The sequence below is a fragment of the Homo sapiens genome, chromosome 7, assembly GCF_000001405.40.
Source record: "Homo sapiens chromosome 7, GRCh38.p14 Primary Assembly".
NCBI classification, from domain to species: Eukaryota; Metazoa; Chordata; class Mammalia; order Primates; family Hominidae; genus Homo; species Homo sapiens.
In genome coordinates this window covers 129856530-129883204 of record NC_000007.14, presented here as the reverse complement: position 1 = coordinate 129883204, position 26675 = coordinate 129856530, and the positions used below count along the sequence as shown (strand labels likewise).

Below are 26675 nucleotides of genomic sequence, written 5' to 3'. Positions count from 1 at the left end.
TATAGTGCTGGATTTGTCCTCAGAAGTACTAATTCGTACTCCACTGAACACTAGATTTTATCCAGCTCTTTCGTTGTTTTCATTGTTTATAGTGAAGAAATATCTTTTTAAACTTCTTTAATGAATTGGACTTTTTTATACTTCAGTTTTACCCATTTCCGTTTTCTTGACTTGGATGTTCTGGCTTTTTCTTTGTTGGGGTATTTGTATTTTTTTCTTGCTGCTTTGTAATAACTTATTTTTAAAATCCACATTTTTGTCTTCCTAGTTTATCATTTGTCTTTTACACTATGGAAGTGTTTTCCATGTCTGTTTTCTTTAAGGGCTGTATTGTTGATATTTAATTTTATTTTAACTGGATTTGCCTTTTTTTACGTGACACAAGGATGCTTTTTTTAAAAAAGTTTTAAAACATTTTAAGCATGTTATGCTTTTACTTATTACATTAACGTTAACTTTGGAATATTTTGCAGGATGTCAGAGGGTGACTGGTCAGAGTAGGCATGCATGTGTCATTTGACCAAGCAAGAAATAAAGCCAGTTTTCCTATGTGGACAGTATTGAATCATTTTAGTGTGCATGTTTCTAAGGTAGTAAGTTATCGTTTAGAAAAGAATTAGATCAAATTAGCCTAGACTGAACTATCTTATTTAAATATCTCTTGTGGATACTCAGGGCTCTTGAGCAAGGACTTTACCAAAATTACACCTGGCCTCTTGCAGTCAGTTCTGTGTCTCATTGGACACGGGCTTGGAGTGCCAAATATTTAATTTCAAATCTTTAAAAATATTTATTCTCTATGAGATTATTAAAACTTTTTAAATGTTTCTGTTTTGTATTAACAGTATATAATTTGCACTGCTGATGGAGAAATATGAGACCAATCTATTGTGTTTTCCTTTTTAATGTTACAGTGGGATTTGAGAGCTTCCCAAAGCCTCTGTCACCTAAAATTCCTACTGAGAATCATTTTTGGATTTTACCGCAAAGCAGATACATAGAACAGATTTTAAACGAGTAGTCCTCTCTTCTAATATGAATTAATTTGGTTTCTAGAATTGAATCTTAGCACCTTAAAGGGGCAAGAATCTCAGGGGTAGGTAAGTTTTAGAGGAAGGGAGCACAGCCATGTTACCCCTCTGTGATTAGAGCCCTGGAGCATACCAAACCTTGAGGCAAGTCTGAAGAAGGTGGAGTTTGGGGGGCAGTGAAAACAGATGCTATGGATAAGATCTGAAAAAATTTTTTTTTGTTTTGTTGGTCTTTTGCATTTGGCAGTACTGCTTGTGGCAAGGTTGTATCATTAACTGTGTTGATTATTCCATAAGCCAAGGAGACAATTGTGGGAACTCTCCTTAGTAAATCCCTCGTTTTAGGAGCATAGCATTTCCAGTTTAGGGGAATTTGTATTTTGCTGAACATTTGAATTTGACTAAAGGGAATACTGGGTTTATATGACAGGCTCATTAGGGATAGATTGAGGAGGAGAGGGTAGAAAGGGAGAGAAAAGCTAAAATTAAGCGCCTATTTTTCATGTATATTTTTTATTTTATTTTTGAGACTGAGTCTCACCCTATCACCCAGGCTGGAGTGCAGTGATGTGATCTCGGCTCACTGCAACCTCCACCTCCCAACTTCAAGCAATTCTTTTGCCTCGGCCTCCTGAGTAGCTGGGACTACAGGCATGCATCACCATGCCTGGGTAATTTTTGTATTTTTTAGTAGAGATGGGGTTTCACCATATAGGCCACGCTGGTCTCGAACTCCTGACCTCAGGTGATCCACCCGCCTAGGCCTCTCAAACTGTTGGGATTACAGGCGTGAGCCGCTGCGTCTGGCCAGTTTTTTATGTATATAGGCAAAATGCAGTCTTACACATTTTACATGTTTAACCTGTCTAATCCTCACAGAAATCCTATGAAATGCTGTTTTCCCAATTTGCAAAGAGAAAACAAAGACTCAGGGAGTAAACTGACATTATTTTGGCTAGGCTCAAAAACTCAGTAAATGGCATTCCTGGGATTTGAACGGCCGTCTCTGAATCCAAAGCTCATGCATATCTTCTTACAAGAGTATATATTGCCTCCTCCTAAACTACCAGAATTATTATGTATATTTTATCAATGTCATGCCAAATTTTGGTAACACTTTAAGTGGCATATGCCTGGGGTGTTATTGGTAATTCTGCCAGATACTGTAAAGCCTGTGTAATTTCCTTTACCGTCCACCTTAGCATCGAGAGTAAACATGAGGTTACGATCCTGGGAGGACTTAATGAATTTGTAGTGAAGTTTTATGGACCACAAGGAAGTAAGTACATGTGTTGGTATGTGTTCTTCTATTACAGTCTTTTACTCTGTTTCTTAATAGAATATCAAAGACAGATGGTAGCATGCGTAGTTTCTGAAAAGCAAGTTTAGTTGGACTGCAGAACCAGTGAGGAAATCTTTCTCTTATCACAATCACTTTATATACAGTCATCCCTTGATATCTGTAGGGGATTGGTTCCAGGACCACCTCATACCAAAATCCACAGATGCTCAAGTCCCTTTATAAGATGACATAGAATTTGCATGTAACCTACACACATCCTCCCATGTCCTTTAAATCACATCTAGATTACTTGTAATAGCTAACACAACGCAAATGTTATGTAAATAGTTGTTATACTGTATTTTATTTATTTATTTATTTATTAAGTGATGGAGTCTCACTCTGTCACCCAGGCTGGAGTGCAGTGGCACGATTGTGGCTTACCGTAACCTCCACTTCCTGGGTTCAAGCAATTCTTCTGCCTCAGCCTTCGAAGTAGCTGGGACTATAGGTGCCTGCCACCACGCCCAGCTCATTTCTGTATTTTAGTAGAGACAGGGTTTCACCATGTTGGCCAGGCTGGTCTCGCACTCCTGACCTCAGGTGATCCACCCGCCTCAGCCTCCCAAAGTGCTGGGATTACAGGCATGAGCCCCACCGCACTTGTCCTTTTTGGTATTTTTTTTGTGTTATTTTTAATTGTATTGTTATTTATTATTGTTTGGATTTTTTTCTCTAATATTTTTGATCTGTGGTTGGTTGAATCCAGGGGTGTGGAACCTGCAGATATAGAGGGCTGACTGTAGTTTTCTCTTTATCTCTATGTGACAGTACTAGACATGAATTGTAAATTCTGGGTTTTGTTATGGATGGCCACGTGAATGGTTTCCAGGAAATGTTTTTTGTTGTTTTCTTTTTGGCCTTGGAGGGGGGATGAATATGGGGTTTATTGAGATAGGAGGGAAAGTAACATGGCTATTACTTACCAAATAATTGAATAGTGTTTAGTACTTTTGAAGAATCAAGTAAATTGCAGAATGAATCTGCTTATTTTTTAACTCTGGATCTTTCCAAGAAAAGTATCTTAATCTGAACGTGGTACACCTATTGATTGTAGTAGGTCCCTGACTCTTGAAGGAATTAATTTGGAAGGTTTTCAGAAGATTAGGGGATAATGTTTAATTTACACTCAGATTTATTTTCTAATTTGGAGATGTAGTTCTGATGAACATTTTTACTTTTATTTCAGCACCATATGAAGGCGGAGTATGGAAAGTTAGAGTGGACCTACCTGATAAATACCCTTTCAAATCTCCATCTATAGGTATGTTACTACTTGGTTTTTCTCCTTAGAGAGTTTTGAAATCTAAGGGGGAAAAATCTTACATTTCAGGGGAGGTAATTAATGCCAGAAATGGCTGTCTAATTGAATTTTTCCTTTTTTGGCTTTGGTTAATTAATCAGTGACTTTTGGGGGGAACTTCTATAGTGTGTTAGAAGACGTTTAAATATACTCTTTGCATAATTATAATGACCATTACTTTAGATTTTTGTCTTTTGGTGTCAGATTAAACCAGCTTTAAGGCCCCACTGTTCTTTAAGCTGTTAGCAGGAAAATAATAAACATATCTTAAGTCTAATTTTGAATGCCAGATTGCAAGAATGAATGTTACATAGTATGTGTTTTAATCCTATCATTTTCAGAAATTCTCCCTAGATCCTACTTTGCTTTTTTGTTCACTCCAACTCTGGGTACCTTACAATTAAATGACCCTTTGCAGTCTTCCCACCTCCAGTCTCTTTAGCCCCCTAAACAGCAGAAGAAAGAATAGAAACCTCAGTGGGGTTGTACAAAGAGGTACTTTCTCCTCACCTTCATCTCCTTTTACCTTAATGGGTGATGTTATTTACCTGTCACCCCCATTGAGGCACTCAGTGACAGATCTATCTGATTGAAGGTGGACACCTTTAAATATTTGGAGACTGTAGAATGGTAGTAATTTAGTTAATTTAAGCCAGCTTTTTTTTTTTTTGCTTCACTTTATACATGTCTAAAATATTATAAAATATTGAACAATTTTAAGTAAGAACAATAAAATTGTAATATATTGAGCATTCTCTGAGAATCAGACTAAGCCTCATGTTCAGAATTGCCAGAGTTCAAACATTTTGCTACTGCTGTGGGCTTTTTTTTTTTTTTTTTTTTTTTGAGACGGAGTCTCACTCTGTCGCCCAGGCTGGAGTGCAGTGGCACGATCTCGACTCACTGCAAGGTCCGCCTCCTGGGTTCACGCCATTCTTCTGCCTCAGCCTCCCGAGTAGCTGGCACTACAGGTGCCTGCCACCACACCCGGCTAATTTTTTGTATTTTTAGTAGAGACGGGGTTCCACTGTGTTAGCCAGGATGGTCTTGATCTCCTGACCTCGTGATCCGCCAGCCTCGGCCTCCCAAAGTGCTGGAATTACAGGCGTGAGCCATTGCGCCTGGCTGCTGTGGGCTGTCTTAAGAAGTAATGCCCGATATCCTGGAGTCTAGACCACTCCCCACTACACCCCCACTCCTAACCAGTTGAATCAGAAATTTCTTTCTTGCTATAGGGGCCTCTAAGTTTCAGCGTTGTGAATGGTAAAGTGGGAGTGGAGCTGTGAGGTGTTGAGCCTTTGAGACAGCCCCCGAGCACATCTGACTTAGCACCTGTATAGGTGTAGAAACGTATACGCCTGTACACCTTCTCCTTTTGAGAGGGCTTTTCTGTTGTGTTGTGGTTCCCTGTCCCCAGTTTATTCATCTTCTAACTTTAGGGTGTTTCTGTCTACTCAGCCATTTAAAACTCTTATGTTGGTTAGTGATAGGACTTTAAAGCCTTTATAGAAGTCCATGCAAGTTCATTCAGATACATTTCATAAATACCTGTTTACCTAAAGGCTAAAAACTGGCATGCTAAGTCTAGTTTTGTTAACCCCACATTCCTAGTCAGAAAGGAAACAATAGAGCTTGTTGAAACTAAGAGTGAACTTATAGAAATGCAATTTCATATCCTGTAGAAATGTTATTTCTCAGACCTTAATGTATTTTTTCTAGATAATATGATTATCTCATCATAACTTTCTAGGTAATAATGTCTAAACTTTAGGCATTGCTTGTTTATTAACTAATGACACAAAAAGCCTCCACGCTTTCTTAAATTAATGATGCAATATGAAATTTGGTTGGGACAAATGACTAAGCTAATTTAACTTCTTCATAATTGTTTCTTTTGCCTTTCTGTGTGCTTTCAGGACTTGATAATGCCTACAAATGTGTATCATCTTCTGTTTGGAAAGTAGATTTAGCTGAAATATTTGTACAAGCTGTTCTTGTTTCCTCTAGAGGAAGGTTGCATAAGAGAGTTTCAATCAGTTGTGCGGGGTGACCCATTTTCAGGTCATCAACAGTGTAATTACTGTTGAGATGTGCTTTAAGCATTCAGAAAGGTTGTGGCTCACTTAGAAAAGGCAAGGATTCCTTTTTGAGTTGTGTAGATAGTTGTAAAATTATACAGAAGGGCGAGGAGGTAAGATCAACCCAATCTCAACATTCTTTTTAAATCTTGCCCCTGTTGTATCTGGGTAGGTGTAGTGTTCTTCCTGAGCCAAATTTTGAGCTTTTAAACAATCAGCTGTGCAAATTTAGATCAAACATCTTTAATGCTTGGCTCTTGGAATTTTGCAGTGTCTATGTACTTTGTTCTATTTTGTGTGTTTGTGTATGGATGTGTATTTTAATTGTATAAATGACCCATATCCATTAGAGCAATGTAAGAAAATCTGTAAGCCAAAGTAAAGAAAAATCAAAATGTCTCATAATCTTATCCCTTAAAGGGTGTCATTATTTACATTCTGGAATATGCTCTTTAAGACATTTCTCTCTGAATATTTAAATATATATATTCAATATAATGTGATATGCTTATCTTTGGGACACTCTCCAAATATAGTTTTAGAGGGCTGTCAGTAGTTACATGATTGCATGAGATGTCCCTTTAAAACAATTTGCATCTATAAATGAGTGGGTATTCGAAATAGTGGCATAGCTACTTTTTGGAAAGAAAAGGAATATAGGTAGACACCTTGGGAGGTTATGAACTTATTCTTATGATGCCATTATTGTTTCAAACACTTTGAGCTCTTTTTTTTGGAATTTTACTTCTGTTTCAGTATCATAAGTGATGGCAAATCTTGATGCTTTGAAGCTGGATGTGAATTTTTGAAATGGCTAACAGTCATTTAAGCCCAAAGAATAAGATGAATGGAAAAACGAGTAATATCAATTGGGGTATAAAACCGGCCCTCTAGGCACTTTGAAAAGAGTAAAAGATATAAAACTCCTTTAATCAACTATAACATCGCTGAATATTTGCATAATTTTCCAGAGAGACTGCTTTGAGATGAATCATATTTGAATCTTTTTCTGATTTACTTGAAAATTCAGACTTTCATATTTTTCATTCAGAAACATTAGTTCCTAGAGTGCTTAGCAATACTGCTGGGTGTTACTGTGTAGGAGTTAGGAGAGTGTGATTGGTCAGTGGACTGGTTATCAGGGTAGAGAAGTTCTGGCCCTGGTTCTCCTTGACCATGAGAGAGATATGCAGCTGACCCATTGTTTTCTCTGCTAGAAAATGAGATACTAGAATTAAACAGATTCTGCATGTTTGATATGACCAGTGTATTAAAACTCGGGGTACCTGGCATCCTGCTGGACATGACGAAGGCTACAGAAGATCTTTACTGGTTAGGAGAGAAGAAGAATGTAAATAAAATACTACGTGTACTTAATGGCATGGTTCCATTGTTTTTTAGGAGAGGTGTGAGTCAGCACCTCAATTTAGAAGAGAGAGCGTAAGGAAGACATAAGTTTCTACAAGAGAGATTGTCTTCACAAAAGCTTCAGAGTTGTTGAGGTGTGCATGAGGACTTTAGAGATACTCATTCAGAACCCCAAGTAATCCCCAGTTCATGAAGATTTTGTTTTATGCAAAGAAATTGCTGCAGAGACTGCCATAGCTCACACTTCTCGAGGTTCACAGTTTTTAGCCTTTGATACTTGTGCTCAGCTGTTAAGTGAAAGCTTTCACCAAACAGACTTGCAGTTACAGTGTGGGTGAAATAAAGATGAATGATCTCATAGAAGAGGGTAATACAGAGTAATTTTTAATAAAAAAAAATAAGCAGAGGATACAAAATGGTTTTATGTCTAATCCAAAAGAATGCAGATTAAAACGAAAGTACAGTATATGATTTGTCAAACTGGCAGATAAAACAGTGTTAGAAAAGGTATTATGATACAGCCAGTCTACCACTATGTATTGCTTGGTAAATATTTTATATCCTTCAAATAATTTTATTTAAAAAGTTAAAAATTATCTAAAGAAATATTTAGAAATGTGCACTGTCAAAAGAATACGTAAATTTTAGTGTTATAATACTTAAAAGTCAGAAGCAACCTAAATGACCCAGTCGGTGATAAAGTAGCTAAGTGATAGTGCATCTTAGTGGATAAAATGTTTTACCCATTAGTCATGTTTTAACACCTCTTTGAAGGGACACACAGGAAAATGTTTTTTATATAGTACAACTCTAATTTTTTCCTATACATTTCACATTTGAATGCCAAACTATTGATGTTATCCATAGCTGTTCAGTTAAAGGAGACTAAAAACATACTTTTCTGTAATTTCCAAATAGTCTACAATGTTTGCTTTTATTATAAAAGTAAATATTTTTAATCATATTGCAAATGTATGTCTTTTGACTGTCCTGTCTGTATCATTGTCTGAGTCTACACTTTGCTGTCTTTTGCTCTAGAAAGCCATCAGGCTTGGCCAGAATTCCCTGTGGTAGCTTGCTCAGGACCTGCCTAACCCACGTGTTTCCCAGCAGCCTCCCTTCTTTTTTCCTTTAAATTTTAATTATGTGTGTGTATAAGTGCACACACTGTTTTCCTTCCTTTGTTTTCTGCTTAGAGTTTAGAGTTTAGTCCATCTCAGATACTGTCTTTACGCGCAACTTTCTTCACTTCTTTCTTCCCCCTTTTTCTCTTCTCTTGGGTGGTTACCTCAAGTACTTCTCACCTTTTTCTTTTCTGCCTGACTCTTCCACTTCCCCCTTCCGTTGTTGCATTTTTCTCTTCATATGAACTGAAAAATGCCCCTCTTTAGAGCTAATAATCATAATGGGGATACTTTTGATAAGCCTAAGCCAAGGGAAAAAAAATATAAAAGTCTTCTAATAAAAGATACAGGGCCGGGTGTGGTGGCTCACGCCAGTAATCCCAACACTTTGGGAGGCCGAGGCGGGTGGATCATGACCTCAGGAGATTGAGACCATCCTGGCTAACACAGTGAAACCCCGTCTCTACTAAAAATACAAAAAATTAGCTGGGCGTGGTGGCGGGCACCTGTAGTCCCAGCTACTCAGGAGGCTGAGGCAGGAGAATGGCGTGAACCTAGGAGGCGTAGCCTGCAGGGAGCCAAGATCGTGCCACTGCACTCCAGCCTGGGCAACAGAGCGAGACTCTGTCTCAAAAAAAAAAAAAAAATTATATATATAAAAAAAATTAAATTCAGGGCTTATAGCCACTAAAGATCTTGCAACATCCAGAAGTTCTCTTCTGGATCTATTATATTCTCCTTCATATCATATCTACTTTACTTAAACACTAGCATTCCAGATAAAATTAAGATGTCATTTTATCTTACATTTAAATGATTATTGGCTACTATTAACAGAATTGTATCCTAATTTCAGATAGAACTATAGAATATTTTAGAATCTTTTGTAAATAACTTTAAGAGCAGCCTAGGAACCCTGTCATCATTTATACTTCTTAAAAATTAGAAAACTGTGTTATAAGGTACAGGTAACAAGTTTAGAAACCAATTTGTGAAATGCTACCGATCTATATCTACATATTTTCAGTGAGGAGGACCCTCTACTAGGAGCAGGCTGTATGCATTGCCTCTGGGTTGCAATTTGATGATACCAAAGCTGGGAAGGTAAGAGAAATGGTTGAGAACAGGATTCTGGAGGGACTGCTGAATGGTTTGCTGAATGTTGGTAGAATGGTCAGGTACAAAACCAGCAAGCTCGTGCTGCCATAGAACTTGATGTGAGGCCGAGCGCAGTGGCTCATCCTGTAATCCCAGCATTTTGGGGAGGCCGAAGTGGGCACATCACTGGAGACAAGGGGTTTGAGACCACCCTGAGCAATATGGAGAAACCCCATCTCTAAAAAAAAAAATACAAAAATTAGCTGGGCATGGTGGTGTATACCTTTAGTTCCAGCTACTCGGGAGGCTGAGGTGGGAGAATCACTTGAGCCCAGGAGGCAGAGGTTGCAGTGTGCTGAGATAGCATCACTGCACTCCAGCCTGGGTGACAGAGTGAAACCGGTCTCAAGAAATTAAAAAAAAAAAAAAAAAAAAGAATTTGATGTTAGTGGCATGAAGCAAGAACTTGCCAAACCCATTTGAGTAAATGGAGACAAAATGAAAAAGTCATGGGCAATACAATAGTTAAAATACTCTGAGCTGGCTGGGCGTGGTGGCTCATGCCTGTAATCCCAGCACTTTGGGAGGCTGAGGCGGGTGGATCACGAGGTCAGGAGATCGAGACCATCCTGGCTAACACAGTGAAATGCTGTCTCTACTAAAAAATACAAAAAATTAGCTGGGCATGGTGGCGGGCGCCTGTATTCCCAGCTACTTGGGAGGCTAAGGCAGGAGAATGGCGTGAACCCGGGAGGCGGAGCTTGCATGAGCCAAGATCGCGCCACGGCACTCCAGCCTGGGCAACAGAGCGAGACTCTTGTCTCAAAAAAAAAAAAAAAACTCTGAGCTATATTAATGGCCTTTAAAATTGGGTCAAACTATCAGGATGGTTTAGGTTGCCCTGTTCCACTAGACTGGACAGCCTGTCAGAGTTCCTCTTAAATCTCCCAGTCTGGCATATACTCTGATAACCAGTGTGCCATAATTCTTTTTTTTTTTTTTTTTTTTTTTTTTTGAGACGGAGTGTTGCTCTGTCACCTAGGCCAGAGTGCAGTGGCAGCACCATTGCAGCTAACTGCAACCTCTGCCTCCCGGGTTCAAGCAATTCTCCTGCCTCAGCCTCCTGAGTAGCTGGGATTACAGGCATGCTCCATCATGCCCTGCTAATTTTTGTGTTTTTTAGTAGAGACGGGGTTTCACCATGTTGGCCAGGCTGGTCTTAAATGCCTGACCTCAGGTGATCCACCCACCTTGGCCTCCCACAGTGCTGAGATTACAGGCGTGAGCCACCGCGCCCAGCCAATATATATATATATTTTTTTACTCATGCAAGTGATAAAGGGAACTGCATTAATCTTTTTCATTGTCAGAATAATAGACTGTTCAGGCATTATACATTTTTTATTTCACTCTGGCCAGAAATGACCTCACACTATTTTTGGAGTGGAGGTTTATAATATGGCATGACTAAACTACCTATAGAACTTAGAATACTTACCATTTTATCTTATGTCTTCCTAGATGGAATCATTCTAGAGTTACTCCCTCAAGAACTAGCATGAGTAACTTCATTGAGCAGTATTTAAGCAGGGATGGGCCAGTATTTGCAGTAGAGAGGAGTTTGTCATTCACAAGAGGTTTCAGGTTAGTCATTTAACAAAGGCCTACTTGTACCACTGTATTTTCACAAATAAAATGAATTCTGTGACTGGGCACGATGACTCATGCCCGTAATACCAGCACGTTGGGAGGCCGAGGCAGGAGGTTCACTTGAGGCCAGGAGTTCGAGACCAGCCTCACCAATATGGTGAAACCCCGTGTCTACTAAAAATATATATATATAAAAAGTAGCCGGGCATGGTGGCGCGTGCCTGTAATCCCAGCTACTCGAGAGACGGAGGAAGGAGAATTACTTGAACCCAGGAGGCAGAGGTTGCAGTGAGCTGAGATGGCGCTGCTACACTCCAGCCTGGGCGACAAGAGTGAGACTCCGTCTCAAATAAAATGAATTTTGGGGCTGGGGAGGCAAAATTCCATTCAGATCACCTGTGTACTTCTCTAATAACCGTGGTTATGACTTTAGTCCTGTCCCAAACAGTTACATAATGGCTACTCTGTAGTGATCTATATCTTTTTTTTTTTTTTTTGATACAGAGTCTTGTTCTGTTGTGCAGGCTGGAGTGCAATGGCACAATCTCAGCTTACTGCAACCTCTGCCCCCCGGGTTCAAGTGATTCTCCTGCCTCAGTCTCCCGAATAGCTGGGATTACAGGCATGTGCCAACACGCCAAGCTAATTTTTGTATTGTAGGAGAGATGGGGTTTCACCATGTTGCCCAGGCTGGTGTCGAACTCCTGACCTCAGGTGATCTGCCTGCCTTGGCCTCCCAAAGTGCTGGGATTACAGGCGTGAGCCAACGTGCCTGGCCAATGATAAGTATCTTTTGAATTCCAGTAGAGAGAAACAAGGTTCTAGTAAGTAAGGAAGGTTTTGTAAAAAAATAAATAGAGATAATGCTATGAGAATATAAGCCATTGTTAAAAGCTCTTTTACTGGTGTTCTGAAAATAACATTTTTCAAAAATTATGTCTGGCAGCTGAGGCTTTGGCTGTGGCATACATCATCCTTCCAATCAGTTTCACAAAGTTATTGGATACCTACTGCGAGCTGGGCGTTATTCTGGGTGCTGTAGATACAGAAGTGAACAAATTGCTCTCTTAATACTTTATGTTCTTTTGGAGTGCGAAGATAAAGCAAAATTTAAAACTTCTGATAGCTTTATGCAGAGAATTAATGGATAGAATAGGTACCTTGGATCAGATATTCAGGAAGGGTCTGACAAAGTAAATTTAAGCTGAGACTTAAAAAGATTAAAAACAAAACAAAACAAAAACCAGCCCTGATCCTCCAAAATCAGGGGTAAGAGCTTTCCAGGCAGAAGAAATTTTGAGTACAAAGGCCCCAGCCTGGAAAACTGGGTAAAATGTGAGGTGTGTGACACACGGGCCAAGTGGCAGGCAGGGTTGAGTTCACAGACCGCTTTGTAGGCCAGGTTAAAGGCTCGACTTTCATTTTAAATGTAATAGAAAGATTACATAGTTTTCAGCAGGGGAGTGAAAGGTCTGATTTTGTTTTTTTAATGATCATTCTACTGCTGTGGGGCAAGACACAGTGACGGGATAGAAGCACAGTTATAAAAGCTTTTGTAGCCGGAGATGCTGGTGGCTTGGACAAGGCTGCCAAGGTCAAGAAACTTTGTTCTAGACATACACCGCTGTGAAGACATGTGGCTCCATTAAGGAAATCATCCAAGCTGGACTGCAGTGGCATAATCGTGGCTCACTGCAGCTTGGACCTCCTGGACTCCAGGCATGGGCCACCACGCTTGGCTAATTTTTTTGCATTTTTTGTAGCCATGGGTTTCACCATGTTGCTCTGGCTGGTCTTGAACTCCTATACTCAAGCGATCTGCCCACATTGGCCTCCCAATGTGCTGGGACAGCAGGTGTGAGCCACCATGCCTGGCCTGTTTTTAATTTTTAAATGGAAGATTCTGAAGGATTTTAAAGTGCTTATTGTAGAGAGATGTTTAGAAAAGGGAGAGCTTGGTGATGCTGGAGTTGGGAAGAGAATTGCAGGAGCACCACCATCGAGAAGGAAGGAGGGAGCAGGATCAGAACCCAGAGGCCTGGTGTTTGAGAAGAGGGGAACATGTGTGCAAGCTGTTGAGGCAGGGAGAAAGAGTATGTGTGCAGGGAGGAGTTTAGAAATTTTTATGGAAAATGAAGAATCCTGCCAATTGGCTTTCATCTTCTCAAAGAAAAGGGACAAGGCTATTTAGTGAAAGAACTAGAGGAGAGAGTTAGGGGAACAAAGGGAGAGAAAGAAAGTAGATTTGCAGGATTGTGGTAAAATGTAACAGTCATGGGAGACTGGGGGAGCGACCCACTAGAGAAAGGGGAAGGGAAGATTGTAGGTGATGCTGAGTCCAAGAAAGGCTGTTGAGCATGTTTAGATAAACTGGTATATATTTGTTTACTTATGTCTCTCCTCCCTGCCAGCTCAGTAGATGTGAACTCCATGAAGGCAGCCCCTGGGTCTGTTTTGCTACCACCACCCCTGTCCTCCCAAATACTCACTACTCAGGGCCTGATACAGTGCCCTTTCTGCAGAAGAATATTCGTGTGAGTGAATGAATGCCTACCTACTGGTACCCTCAAGTCCAAGTTGAGCAAATGTGAATGATGCTTCCTGTGGTAGCTTTGCTAGATGGGCATTTTGGAGGGGAGAGGACAGGGGATTTGCAGAGGATTGCTTGAGAGTGAGGATGGTGATGGCTCTTAAATCTTAAGCTGAGTAAGAAGCCAGTGAAGATAAGAGGGCTGGTAGTTGGGAAGAAAATGGGAGAATCTGTGGATTACAGTTAACAGGTGAAAGAATTAATGATTCCTGGGGTGGGAAGCTTTTGGCAAGGACAGGGGATTGGTAGGATAGGAGATGTCTAAATTTGTGATTGTGGAGGTAAATATGTAATTGTGGAGGGAATGACAAAGGTCAGGGTATGTCCTGGGGAGCATGAAGTGGAATGGAATAGAAGGTCACTGAGGAGAAGCTTAAGAAACAAGCCGGGCACGGTGGCTCACGTCTGTAATCCCAGCACTTTGGGAGGCCGAGGCAGGCGGATCACCTGAGGTTAGGAGTTCAAGACCAGCCTGACCAACATAGAGAAACCCCGTCTCTATACTAAAAATACAAAATTAGCTGGGCATGGTGGCACATGCCTGTAATCCCAGCTACTCAGGAGACTGAGGCAGGAGAATCACTTGAACCCCGGAGGCAGAAGTTGCAGTGAGCCGAGATCGCGCCATTGCACTCCAGCCTGGGCAACAAGAATGAAACTCTGTCTCCAAAAAAAAAAAAAAAAAGAGAGAGAGAGAGACCCGGGTGTCAGGAGTATGGTCTATATTGTCACCAAAAATGACAGGAGTTGGGGCAGAGAGCAACTTGGGGGCCAAGCCAGGTGCTGAAGTTCTCAGTGAGAGAAGCCAGTGGTCAAATGGGCCCTTTTAATGTGAAACCTGCTGTGAGCAGGCTGTAATGTCTAAATTCATTTACCTTCATCTTGTTATTAGCCAGAGTAAAAATAGTACAGTTAGCTTTCCCACCCCATTCCCCAGGCTGCCACCTCTAAGGATAACCCTGCTTTTGCATATGCTTGTTACTATCAGAGGACTTGTCCATTTCTTTCTTTTTTTTTTTTTTTTTTTTTTTTTTGAGACGGAGTCTCGCTCTGTCGCCCAGGCCGGACTGCGGACTGCAGTGGCGCAATCTCGGCTCACTGCAAGCTCCGCTTCCCGGGTTCACGCCATTCTCCTGCCTCAGCCTCCCGAGTAGCTGGGACTACAGGCGCCCGCCACCGCGCCTGGCTAATTTTTTGTATTTTTAGTAGAGACGGGGTTTCACCTTGTTAGCCAGGATGGTCTCGATCTCCTGACCTCATGATCCACCCGCCTCGGCCTCCCAAAGTGCTGGGATTACAGTCCATTTCTTTCTTGAAGTTGACTTATGCCAGTTTTAATTCTGCCTTTGACAGCTCATTATTATATAATCTTTTCATTTGCTATTTAAAACTTCCATCACACTTGCTGCCTAGGTTAGTTCCTACTCTGTATTGGGTGACCTCTAGCTTTTGAGCTGGTTATTCTGACATCTTTTTGGCATTAAATCTATTTCTTTCCCTTTAGGATTTGGTGTCATAATGAAAACAAGTATTTTTGGCTTCCTTTTTCTTTAAACTGAAATTCTTTTGAAAACAACAAAAGCAATGTCTTAGTTCTTTTTAGAAACCTGTTCACAGTTTGAGATTTGCTTATATTCCTGGTGTTGGTGAAAACTGTGTTGTTAGTGGAAGTTTAGAGATTATGACATCCAATTTGCCTGATTTTAAGGATGGAAAAAAATGAGGCTGAGATGTATGACTACGCACTAGTTGCAGAGTCCATCTTCTGGCTTCCAGTTTAGTGTGTGTGTGCTTGTTTTTTAACTATACCAAATGCAGTCAGGATGTTTTTTTTTTTTAATCTAATTTTTGCTTGCACATCAAGAAAGGATGGTCTTCTTTTTTTTTTTTTTTTTTGGTTTTCTTTTTTTTTTTTTTTTTTATTATACTCTAAGTTTTAGGGTACATGTGCACATTGTGCAGGTTAGTTACATATGTATACATGTGCCATGCTGGTGCGCTGCACCCACTAATGTGTCATCTAGCATTAGGTATATCTCCCAATGCTATCCCTCCCCCCTCCCCCGACCCCACCACAGTCCCCAGAGTGTGATATTCCCCTTCCTGTGTCCATGTGATCTCATTGTTCAATTCCCACCTATGAGTGAGAATATGCGGTGTTTGGTTTTTTGTTCTTGCGATAGTTTACTGAGAATGATGGTTTCCAATTTCATCCATGTCCCTACAAAGGATATGAACTCATCATTTTTTATGGCTGCATAGTATTCCATGGTGTATATGTGCCACATTTTCTTAATCCAGTCTATCATTGTTGGACATTTGGGTTGGTTCCAAGTCTTTGCTATTGTGAATAGTGCCGCAATAAACATACGTGTGCATGTGTAGGATGGTCTTCTTAATAATAAATATGGGGCACATGTTCTCAGGACCTCCTGGGGCTGTGTCACACAAATAATAAATATTAAAAATAAAAATTATAATTGTATTTTCCATTTCTAGTGTGACAGAGTTATGGGAAACATATGTAAATCATAATATCCTCTCATGTTCTTCACACTTGTAAGAGCATTAAGAGATGGACACATAGGGTAAATATTAATCAGTTTTAGGATGAAGACAGTAAGATGAAATTACTTGTTCATTTAACTTATTAAGCTAATTCTAACATTACTGCATGCTTACTGTATGCCAGTTACTGTTCAAATGCTTTACATATATTAACTCATTTAATCTTCACGATTAATGATGTGTAGATACCATTATTTAACCTAGTTTTAGGAATAAGGGAACAGAAAGGCAAAGAGATGAAGTAGATTGCCCCAGAGGCTCACACAGTGGCATTTAGGCATTCTGACTGGAGCCTGGTCCTTTTTAAAAAATGTATTGTTACATCAGTTACACACATTTTTGGGGTACATGTGCTATTTTGGTACATATATGCAATACGTAATGATCAAAACAGGGTAATTGGGATATCTGTCACCTCAAACATTTATCTTTTGGAGCCTGATCTTTTAACTACAACTCTAAGAGTGGTAGAGAATTGTAGTTGGGTCTTGTGAGTTCAAGTCCAATGTATTCTGTACTGTATTGTCTCTGACCATGAAAATAAGTACTGCCTGAACCCAACAGTGTGGTTATATGAACGACCCAGCGATCGAAAGATAAACTATGAAAACAAAACAGAAGTTAGTCTCCCAAAAATGAAACCAAAGGAAAGTAGGCCAGAGGTTTTGATAATCCACTAGGTTGGTAGAAGGGTTATGCTATTGAAGGATAACACTTCACCTTTTCTTAGTTATAAATGACCTTTTCTTATCCATCTAGCCCATTCCTCAGACTCTATATTACCAGAGAGAAAGGAAGAAACAGAAAAGAGGACCCCTTGTTGAGTTTAGATCTCCTGAACACACACAGGATCAGTTCAGAAGTTCCCATGACACAGGGCATTGAGAGTGAGCTCCTTGCCTGGTTCCTCACCCAAGAAGAGACAGGCCCAGGTCCATCTCTCCTGAGTAGGAAAGGCTCAGATTTCTGAAGAGATTTCTACCCGGGCACAGGCTGCCTCAGGTGGGGCCTGGCTGTCTGAGGTTAGATGAAAATCTATCAGATTGTGGACTCCTGCACATAGCTGGCCAATGTCTGTCACTAGTGGAGCTGGCAGCACCCCCCCACCCTTACTCAATTGGAACACCCCTACTCTGGTCACCCTGTGTGCTAGGAACAGAGATCCAAGTTATTACCCTTAAATAATTTATAGTCTGAGATACTGCAAGGGAAGATGAGATTCAGTCTTTAATAAGAATATTTTAAACAATTATACCTACTGAAAAAATAGAATTAATCAGTTTGGTTGTGAACAGTCTACTTTATGTGGGCAGTTGTTCTGAAGATAGACGATCAGAATGACTTAATGTATTCACTTAACTGTTTTCTCACAGGAATTCATAAGCTTATAATGCAATTGCATCAGCCACAGCTGTCTGAACCACCTTAGCCTAGGCTTATTTTATCCCTGGGATGTAGCTGCTGTTTTGGCCTTTGGTGATCTTCACCCGTTTACCGTAGGGTGGATTTACCTTGATTCACAAGTCGTTTGTCTAACCTCTCCTTTTGTCAAGATAATTCTGACAGGTGAAATTTCTGGTGATTGGCCCAAAGTATTTCATCTACCCACAAATTTGATCATTAATATCCTCTCAAATAAAGGGAACAAAGATGGAAAAATAGGTGAAGCTTGGCCTCATTTATTTACATATTGACCCCAATGTCAGAAGTTACTCAGAAGTGTGTGCAACTCTGTATAGACCCCTTCCTGGGACTGGACACAGAGGCTGAAATAAAAACCAGTTTTTCAGCATGACTTAGCACAATGTTATTTATTTTCACTGCCTATTAGCCTATGGGTCATGAGATTTGTTATTCTAGAGCAGTTGAGTATTGGAGTGGAACAAGCAAAAGCAAGGCATATTTTTCTGTTGTAATCTGTACTTTTTATTTTTTAAGATATATAATAATAGTTTTACATTAAGTGTGATTTGGATTCCTTCTCCAGAATTATAAATTACCTAATTCCCTTCTGCTAAAAGACGCAGGACAGAGAAGGGTAAGCATTTTAGCTGGACATTTATTCCTGTTGTACGATCCTCCCCATCCCCTTTAACGAGTGCTAGAACTACGCCAGAGAATAACTGTCCAAAAAACTTAAGGAGTTCTGATTTTAATCTGGTCAAATCACTGAAATATGTTGTTAGAAAATGTCTGGTAGTGGCCGGGCACGGTGGCTCACTCCTGTAATCCCAGCACTTTGGTAGGCTGAGGTGGGTGGATCACGAGGTCAGGAGATCAAGACGATCCTGGCTAACATGGTGAAACCCCATCTCTACTAAAAATACAAAAAAATTAGCTGGGTGTGGTGGTGGGCACCTGTAGTCCCAGCTACTTGAGAGGCTGAGGCAGGAGAATAGCTTGAACCCGTGAGGTGGAGGCTGCAGTGAGCCGAGATCGCCACTGCACTCCAGCCTGAGTGATAGAGTGAGATTCTGTCTCAAAAAAAAAAAAAAAGAAAGAAAAGAAAAAGAAAATGCCTGGTAGTGAATAAAATCTTAAATCATGAAGATTAAAAATAACCTGCTACTTCTACTTATGTTGCCATAAAAGCAGTTTTCAAAATATGTTCTCTTAAAATATCTTGAAAATAGTTCCTGGTCTAATGGAAACAAGTGTTGGGAAAATTCCCTTGTTGCAGACATATTCATTAATGTGATGATAGCATTGCCAAAAGGAAGGAGAACATGCCAGGGCCAACTCAACACAGTCCTGAGAACATTCCTTTTCCGAATTTCTGGCCCGTTCTTTCTCTGTCTCCCCCCTCCTTGTCCAGGAGTTCCATTGTTGGCATCATTATCCAGAATGTAAATGGCTTTGCCAGAAACACTGCCCACAGCTTGTCTAAGAACAAATGTCAAGGAGATATGCTTTTTTCCATGTATTTGCTTTGGATATTTTTCTAACAATTAAGCCTGAGGGCCAGGTGCAGTGGCTCACGCCTGTAATTCCCCACACTTTTGGAGGCTGAGGTGGGTGGATCACTTGAGGTCAGGAGTTCAAGACCAGCCTGGCCAACATGGTGAAACCCTATCTCTACGAAAAAATACAAAAATTAGCTGGTTGTGGTAATCCCAGCTACTTGGGAGGCTGAGGCAGGAGAATCTCTTGAACCCAGGAGGCGGAGGTTGCAGTGAGCAAGGTGCTGCACCACCACACTCCTGCCTGGGTGACGAAGTGACCTTATCTCAAAAAAAAAAAAAAACACCTAGTATTGGAAGAGATCATTTTAGTTTAGAAAGTAGAAAGTTTCTTGATAGAGTTGGTCTGGTTGTGTTCATCCCTCAAAGGCAAGGTTATAAACTGTTTCTGCCTACTTTAGAAGAGTCAGAGGGTTTGTTTTGTGGCTCTTTATGGTATTTTATCATGTTGGTGGTTTTGTATTCTCTAGAAAATTTCTGTACCTAAAAATGCTGCCTTACAGAATTAATTTCCTTTAAGGACTTAACTCTTGGATATTTCCCCATAATTCCTCTGTTCTCAGAGTGCTTGCCATTGTTATTAAATGCTAGATTTTTAGAGCTGATAGGGCCTTCAGAAATAGAGTAAGAGTGGAGATTTGGGAGATCATATAGTTCAACTATTTGTCTTCGTAGGTAAAGAAACAGACCCCACAAGGTGAAGTGACTTGCCCAGGGCCTGCAGTTGATTAGTTGAGGCTAGAACCCATGTCCCTGTTTAGTACTTTGCTTTGTGGTGTGATTCTGCCCTCTGTACTAGTGCTCAGATGGTGTTCTGTACTTAGCAGGGGCACTGGAGACTGAGCTCCAAACCATTTATTACTAAAGCGTATGTTTACCAAGTCCTTTTTGGTTCTGTTATTTATTCCTGTACTCAACTAAGCCAAATCTAGATTTAATTGAAAACTGTATAGACACTGTTAATTCCAAGTGTGCTCTCCAGGTCATGTCCAATGAGGGAGGCACCTTAGTCTTTCAGAGACGTTTTGATAAACATTTAAAGCTTACCATAGTTATTTGCTTGACTTAACACCTTTAAATGCCCCGTGGCCTCAGATCGTTGAAGCATAATGCCCTGTAGGATTCCCATTTTGTTTTGCTTGAGATCTGCCATTCCCCAGCACTCAGGTGCTGTGAGCTGATTGAGCTGTTCCCCAACTAGCCTATTTTAGGACACAAGCCATTTGTTAAGCCAAGTATGTGAATATGTCACTGTTCAGGCACTAGTCTCAGTGGCCCCCCCATCTCCCTTGAATAAAAGCCAGTGTCCTTAAAAGGGCCCCAAATGCTGATCACCTCTGTGACATCACTTCTCATTTTCTGCCCCTTTTTCAAATCCCTTCAGTTTCAGGAAAAAACTTCAGAGCATCAGGCAAGCTCCTAATGTGCTTTGCACTTGGCTGTTCCCTCTATAGTGACCTTCTCCTCTCCTCTTGGTACCAGGTGGCTCCTCTTTCACCTCCTTCAAAGCAAGTCACTTTCTCAGGAAGTCCCTTCCTGACCATCTCATTTAAAATTGCCACCCCGCCCCAACCTTTCCATTTCTGTTTTCCTCCTTTGCTGTGTTTTTCTCCATAATGCTGGTGACCTTCTAATGTAGGACTTATTTTTTCTAAAGACCTTTCCTTACAGGTATTTCCCCTTAAGTCCTGTGTCTTTGAGTATTGGTTTTAGTTTAAATGAAAACTTCCCAGTGCTTCTCATCTGTAGCCAGCATTGGGAACCTTTGCCATAGACGTTGCTTCATTAGGTGTTAGTTTTGAGAGTTCTCACAGAGGCAGGATTTTAAGTATCAAGAACGTATTTTTAATTCTTAATAGTAGCTTCAGGCAATATTTTTCATATAGTAGGACCATTCTCTTGCATTAAACCACATAGTGGCTCAGCATTGTTCCCCACTCATCAGAAAGCTTCCCTGCAGTAGTGATAGCAGCATACTCCTATATATAACTGATCTTGAGGACCACGTACCTTATAACCTGAGGTTCCTCTGATTTTAGGGGGAGGGTAATGAATTTGTATTATTTGAACAAGAGTGTTAAGATACGAGATTTCAAATAAAATGGTTGGTTTTACTGGCTTTTTCTTAAAATAGTTCAGCACTAGTTAATGCTTGTGTAATTCAGTCTATTTTAGAATGTTTGATACTATGTATAACTTTTTTTGGAAACGGAGTCTAGCTCTGGCTTCCAGGCTGGAGTGCAGTGGCATGATCTCGGCTCACTGCAGCCACCTCCCAGGTTCAAGCAATTCTCCTGCCTCAGCCTCCTGAGTAGCTGGGACTACAGGTGGGCGCCACATGCCCGGCTAATTTTTGTATTTTCGTTACAGATGGGGTTTCACCATGTTGGCCAGGCTGGTCTCAAACTCCTGACATCAAGTAATCCGTCCGTCTTAGCATCCCAAAGTGTTGGGATTACGGGCGAGAGCCACTGTGGCCAGCTGATACTATGATAACTTTTTATTTCGGAGTTTTTTTAAGCTCAACTATTAAAATTACACATTGTAGAAATGTCAGAGAGCCAAAAGTGCAAGTAGAAATAATGGGAGAATCTTGCAAACATGACAACCATCCACACCTGTTTTCTTCTAGCCTTTTCCCATTGCTGTGATCCTAGTTCTGGTTCAGGTGTGGTGAGGTGGTGATGAGATTTGAAAAGTGCAGCGGAGAAAATACTACCACCACTAAGAATTCTACACTGTTAACATTTGTACTTACTTTCAGTTTCTTATTTATGTGCATATGTTTTAAACAGAGCAAATAATATAGAAGCACATTGTCCCTTTTTAAAAGGAATATATTAATAGTGTTAAAGTCTTTTTTTTTTTTTAAAGACAGTCTCACTCCGTCACCCAGGCTGGAGTGCAGTGGCGTGATCTTGGCTCACTGCAAGCTCCGCCTCCTGGGTTCAAGTGATTCTCTACCTCGGTCTCCCGAGTAGCTGGGACTACAGGCACACGCCACCACACTCAGCTAATTTTTTATTTCTTTTTACTAGAGACAGGGTTTCACCATGTTGGCCAGGCTGGTCTTGAACTCCTGACCTCAGGTGATCCACCCACCTTGGCCTCCCAAAGTGCTGGGATTACATGCATGAGCCACCGTGCCTGGCCAGATAAAGTCATTTTTAACCACTGTTTCCTCTTCTGTTCCCTTTTCCTATCATGACCCTGGCCCTGTGCCCTAACTGAAACAATTACTTTTGCAAATTTGGTATATGTTGGTTCAGTACAGTTTTCCTATACTTGTTACCATGGAGAATTGGTAGTTGTTTGTTTTAGTTTATTTAAATAACCTCAGCCTGTAAATATAACATCCTGCAACTTAAAAAAAAAAAACAAAACTCAGCTTTAGATGTATACAAGTTGATACACATGGATCTACTTCATTACCCTTGGCTGTATAGGACTCAGGTAGATGGATGTACTCCCCTTTATCCAACCCTATCCCATTGACAGGGTTGAATTTGGCTGTTGGCTTTTATAAATAATATTGCAACAAATACTCTCATGGGGCATCTGGGACATGTGTATTAGTATTTTTCTAAAGTTAATGTAGAATGTTTTTTACCCTAATTTTTCTCCTCTTAATACCAAGACATGAACATTTCCCATTATTAAAATGTCTTCATAAACCACATGCTTCTTAAATCTAGACTTTGAAACATCTTTAATTTCCTTAATGAAAAATTAATATTGGACACAAAGATTTTTTTTCATCAGAGTAACTTAAACATCACATAGGCCCTCTTGATTGTAGTAGATAGAACATTATGCTGTTTCAACACAGAGCATTTAAAAACAAAAGTTAAAAGTGTGAGTGACTAGAGTGGTCTAAGACTGGACTACTTGGACTTGGTATTCTTATCCCCTGTTTTCTACTTCAGGGGAAGTTTCTCAGGTTTTTGGAGACAATCTCTGTAGCGCCTCACTTGAGGCTCCTCCTCCAGTGCCATTTCTCTGCATCTTTCCTGACTCTTCCCATTTTACTCCGCCTACTGTATCAATACTTTATTCAGATTGCAGGTATTTATTGGTGTCTCTTGTCCCACTGCCACAGTGACCTCCTCAAGAATAGTGAACTGTCTTATTTTTATACCCTATCCAAGCACAATGCCTGCGGTGTAGGTGCTGACCAAATATGTTCTGAATGAATATGAGAGAGAGAGACTGTGGGGATGGGGGTGATGGAGGATGGGGGTCGGAGATAGTGGTGGTGATACTCACCTTAATAAGGAACTTCAGATATTGAAAGTGTGGAACAGAATGAGTCCTAAAAGGAAATGAAGTGATAAGGATGACAAAATGACACCTTTGACAATGGATCTCTGCTTTAGAATATTGCCATTTGCATATATACTGACTGACTGAATAACTGGTTTTATTAATTTCTCCTTGAAGTTCAAATGGCCATATAGCTATTAAAGTGTGTACTTGGTTTGCTAGGAAAAATTTTAAAAACTTAAACCTCCAACAGATATAGCCAACTTAGAGTATTTTTTTTAACTCCTTGCTTGGTTGCCCCAATTTTAATCAAAACTGGGTTTCCCTGAATGAGTAGACTAATGTTAAAGGAAATATTTTGGTCACTGCTTTTAGGAAATCCTTTGTGGTTTGAAGTGGTATTCCTTTAGCATTTCAACAGTTTCATTCATGTTCCGTGCACAGTGCAGCCAAGTGATACCAGTAAGTGAGCGTCAGAAGGAGAAGTTGAAATGCAGAACCTCCAGATTTAGAGCTTGAACAACAAAACTTCTGGGAGAGTGAAGTTTCTTAACTTTTATCATGACACTGGCTATGAACCATTTAGTAGTATAATTTATCTTTGAGCAGTACCTTCATAGCTCAGAAAACAGTTGCTTTAATGATTGTTTTGTATAAGAAGCTGCATTTCTCCCAGTTTGCTCATTTGTTAATAGAATGCTGATGTATTCCAAATAATTGGAGCTATCAGGAGAATATAATGTTTATCAGTAATGAAAGATCTAAGGTTGAAAGTAGTGATTTATAAGTATTATCACCTTTTCCCAATACTGAAATTGTTTCCAGTACTGAAATACTTTTATTGTTCTCTGGATACTTTTTGCTGCTAATTAACATCTCTTTTTACAGGATTCATGAATAAAATTTTCCATCCCAACATTGATGAAGCGTAAGTAACTATTTTAAAATGTTTCAATTTTAGCAGCAACTGCTCATGATTAGTGTTTCTCTGTGTTATAAAAAGCCTCGGTTATCTTTTTGGACCTTATCAGGAGGTAGGACTGTATGAATGGTCATGTAAATGATAGAATCCAAAGGATATGAGGTTCTCAATCACTTAGTTCACATTCTGCTGTTGTACCACTTATTTTTTTCCATTGTCGTGACTGGGTCCTTCATTTTTCTTGTTACCCAGCAAACAGTAGTAATATTCCACATCTCACTTCTCTTTTTGTAGACACAGTTCAGAGATCTGTTTTCAGCCTACAGATAGACTATTTTCAGATCTTATAATATTTTCTCAATTCTTGATAGATAGTAAGGCAAAATGACTATAGTTTCATTTCAGTTAATGAATCTTATTTATCCCCTTCTTTCCTTCTAATATTTTATTAATGATACTTTAAAATATTCCAGCATATCCTGTTTTATACTTCTAGTGCTGTTTAGAATATATTATTGTTTGGGATGCAATTTTAATTTGTCATGGCACTAAGTTTTACTGTCTCTCACAAACATACCTAACAGGTTTTTCTGCACTCTGTGTGAGTAGGTTGTATATATACATACATCATGCCCCTTAGTCCTTTAATATTAATATTTTATTGTATCAGTTATCCTAACAAGGATATTCTCTTATCTATCCACAGTATATAGTTGTCAGATTCAGGAATTTAACGTTAATGCAATACTTATTTAATCTACTGCCATATTCCAGTAACTTACTTTTTAGCACTTTTTTCTTTCAATAAAGGATCCAGTCTAGAATCACACATTACATTTAGTTGTCATGTTTCTTTAAACTGCTTTAATCAGGATTAGTTCCTCAGCCTGCCTTTATCTTTTATAAAATTCACTTTTTAAAATAACATAGACCAGTTATTTTATAGATTGTTCCTCAATTTGTGTTTGTCTGATGTTTCCTGATCATTAGATTCAGGGCATGAACACACTTAAGGCCAGAAAACTACAAAGTAAGATGGTGTCCTTCTTGGGGTATCACATTCAGAGACACACAAGGTCTGTCTGCCCCTTGTGTTCTCAGCACCTGGTTCAGGTGTTGTCTGGTTTCTCCATTGCATAGTTACTATTTTCCCCTTTCAGTCTGTAAGGTGACACTTCAAGACCTGGTACTATTCTGTTCCTCATCATACTTTTCCCCAATTGGGATTCTTTTTTTCACAGATCTATTAGAAGTATTTCTCTTGATAAGTAAAAATTAGTTGCCAGATACATGCAACTAACTTTCTAATTTTTAAAAACATGCCATTCTTTCCATCTGTTTCAGGTCAGGAACTGTGTGTCTAGATGTAATTAATCAAACTTGGACAGCTCTCTATGGTGAGTTTGGCCATGGAATATTTTTTGGAGATGTTGAGACATTGCCTAAAAAAATGTTGTTTGGCTTTTCTTTTCTGGTTTAAGATGTTTTGTTGGTAATGGGAAGGGATTTTTGAGGGACCGACTGGGAAAGTTTGATCAGTGGAAAAAATGTTTTCTCTTAAGTACAAATATATCAGTTTAGCTGTGGAAGTTTAAAATGATTTTTTGAGATTCCAAACTTAAGGTATAGTGATACATGTGCACACACATGAGTACATGCGCACACACATGAATACATGTGCAAACATTTTATATGTATGTATTAGCACATAATATATACATATTTTGGTTTTGGAAAAAACTAAAACTACTTAGGAATGTCCCTCTGAAATGAGAGAGCAATGATATAGTAAGAGGTTTTAGGGGATCATCTTTTCAAAGACCAAAACCTCCTTATGAAGGAAGAGTAATTTAGCCTTACCTTCAGTGCTGAAATTGACACCCCATCTCTTACAGGGAATCAACAAATGAATTGCCCAGCTCTGCAAAATGCTATGCTGAATATCCCAGAGAGTTATAAAGAGCATCAGGCCTTTCCTCCTTATCACCTGGTTGGGGAGCTGAAAATATGTTAAAATACAGTCATCTCTTGGTATCTGCAGGGGATCAGTTCCCAGACCACCTGCAGATACCAAAATTCATGCTTACTCAAGTCCCACAGTCATCCCTGTGAAACCCACTGACATGGAGGGCTAGCTGTATTTATTGAAAACCACATGTGAATGGACCCATGCAGTTCAAACTGTGTGTGGACCCATGTTGTTCAAGGGTCAGTTGTGTATTTGAAGTTAATTAGGGATACAACAAATAAATCTGTTTTTCCCTCCACATGTCCAAATCTCAGGCTTCATAGAGTCTACCTACTCCAGTGCTCCTACCCCGTATACTTCCGCTGATTCTCCAGCTGGAAGTAATCTCTGGATACCATTACATTTTATA

General features: G+C 39.8%; 1 protein-coding gene across 4 annotated transcripts in view, besides 1 other annotated feature; it reads left to right on the top strand.

Moving 5' to 3' along the window:
- Positions 1-26675, top strand: part of UBE2H (ubiquitin conjugating enzyme E2 H) — a 122229-nt gene that overhangs the window by 69756 nt on the left and 25798 nt on the right. For 3 of the 4 annotated variants that reach the window (NM_001202498.2, NM_003344.4, XM_047420796.1), the window contains 4 exons: positions 2234-2310; positions 3563-3637; positions 24264-24303; positions 25642-25694. In NM_001202498.2, the coding sequence (NP_001189427.1) occupies positions 24269-24303; positions 25642-25694 (88 nt within the window). In that variant the 5' untranslated portion in view covers positions 2234-2310; positions 3563-3637; positions 24264-24268. The remainder of the gene's footprint in view (positions 1-2233; positions 2311-3562; positions 3638-24263; positions 24304-25641; positions 25695-26675) is intronic. The other variant, NM_182697.3, reaches the window with a different exon arrangement.
- Positions 2928-3429: an enhancer, noted in NCBI's record as "NANOG hESC enhancer chr7:129519616-129520117 (GRCh37/hg19 assembly coordinates)". NCBI's record gives its function as "activates a minimal SCP1, AML or CMV promoter by ChIP-STARR-seq in primed H9 embryonic stem cells {active_cell/tissue: H9 hESC(primed)}" and the evidence as "EXISTENCE:reporter gene assay evidence [ECO:0000049][PMID:30033119]".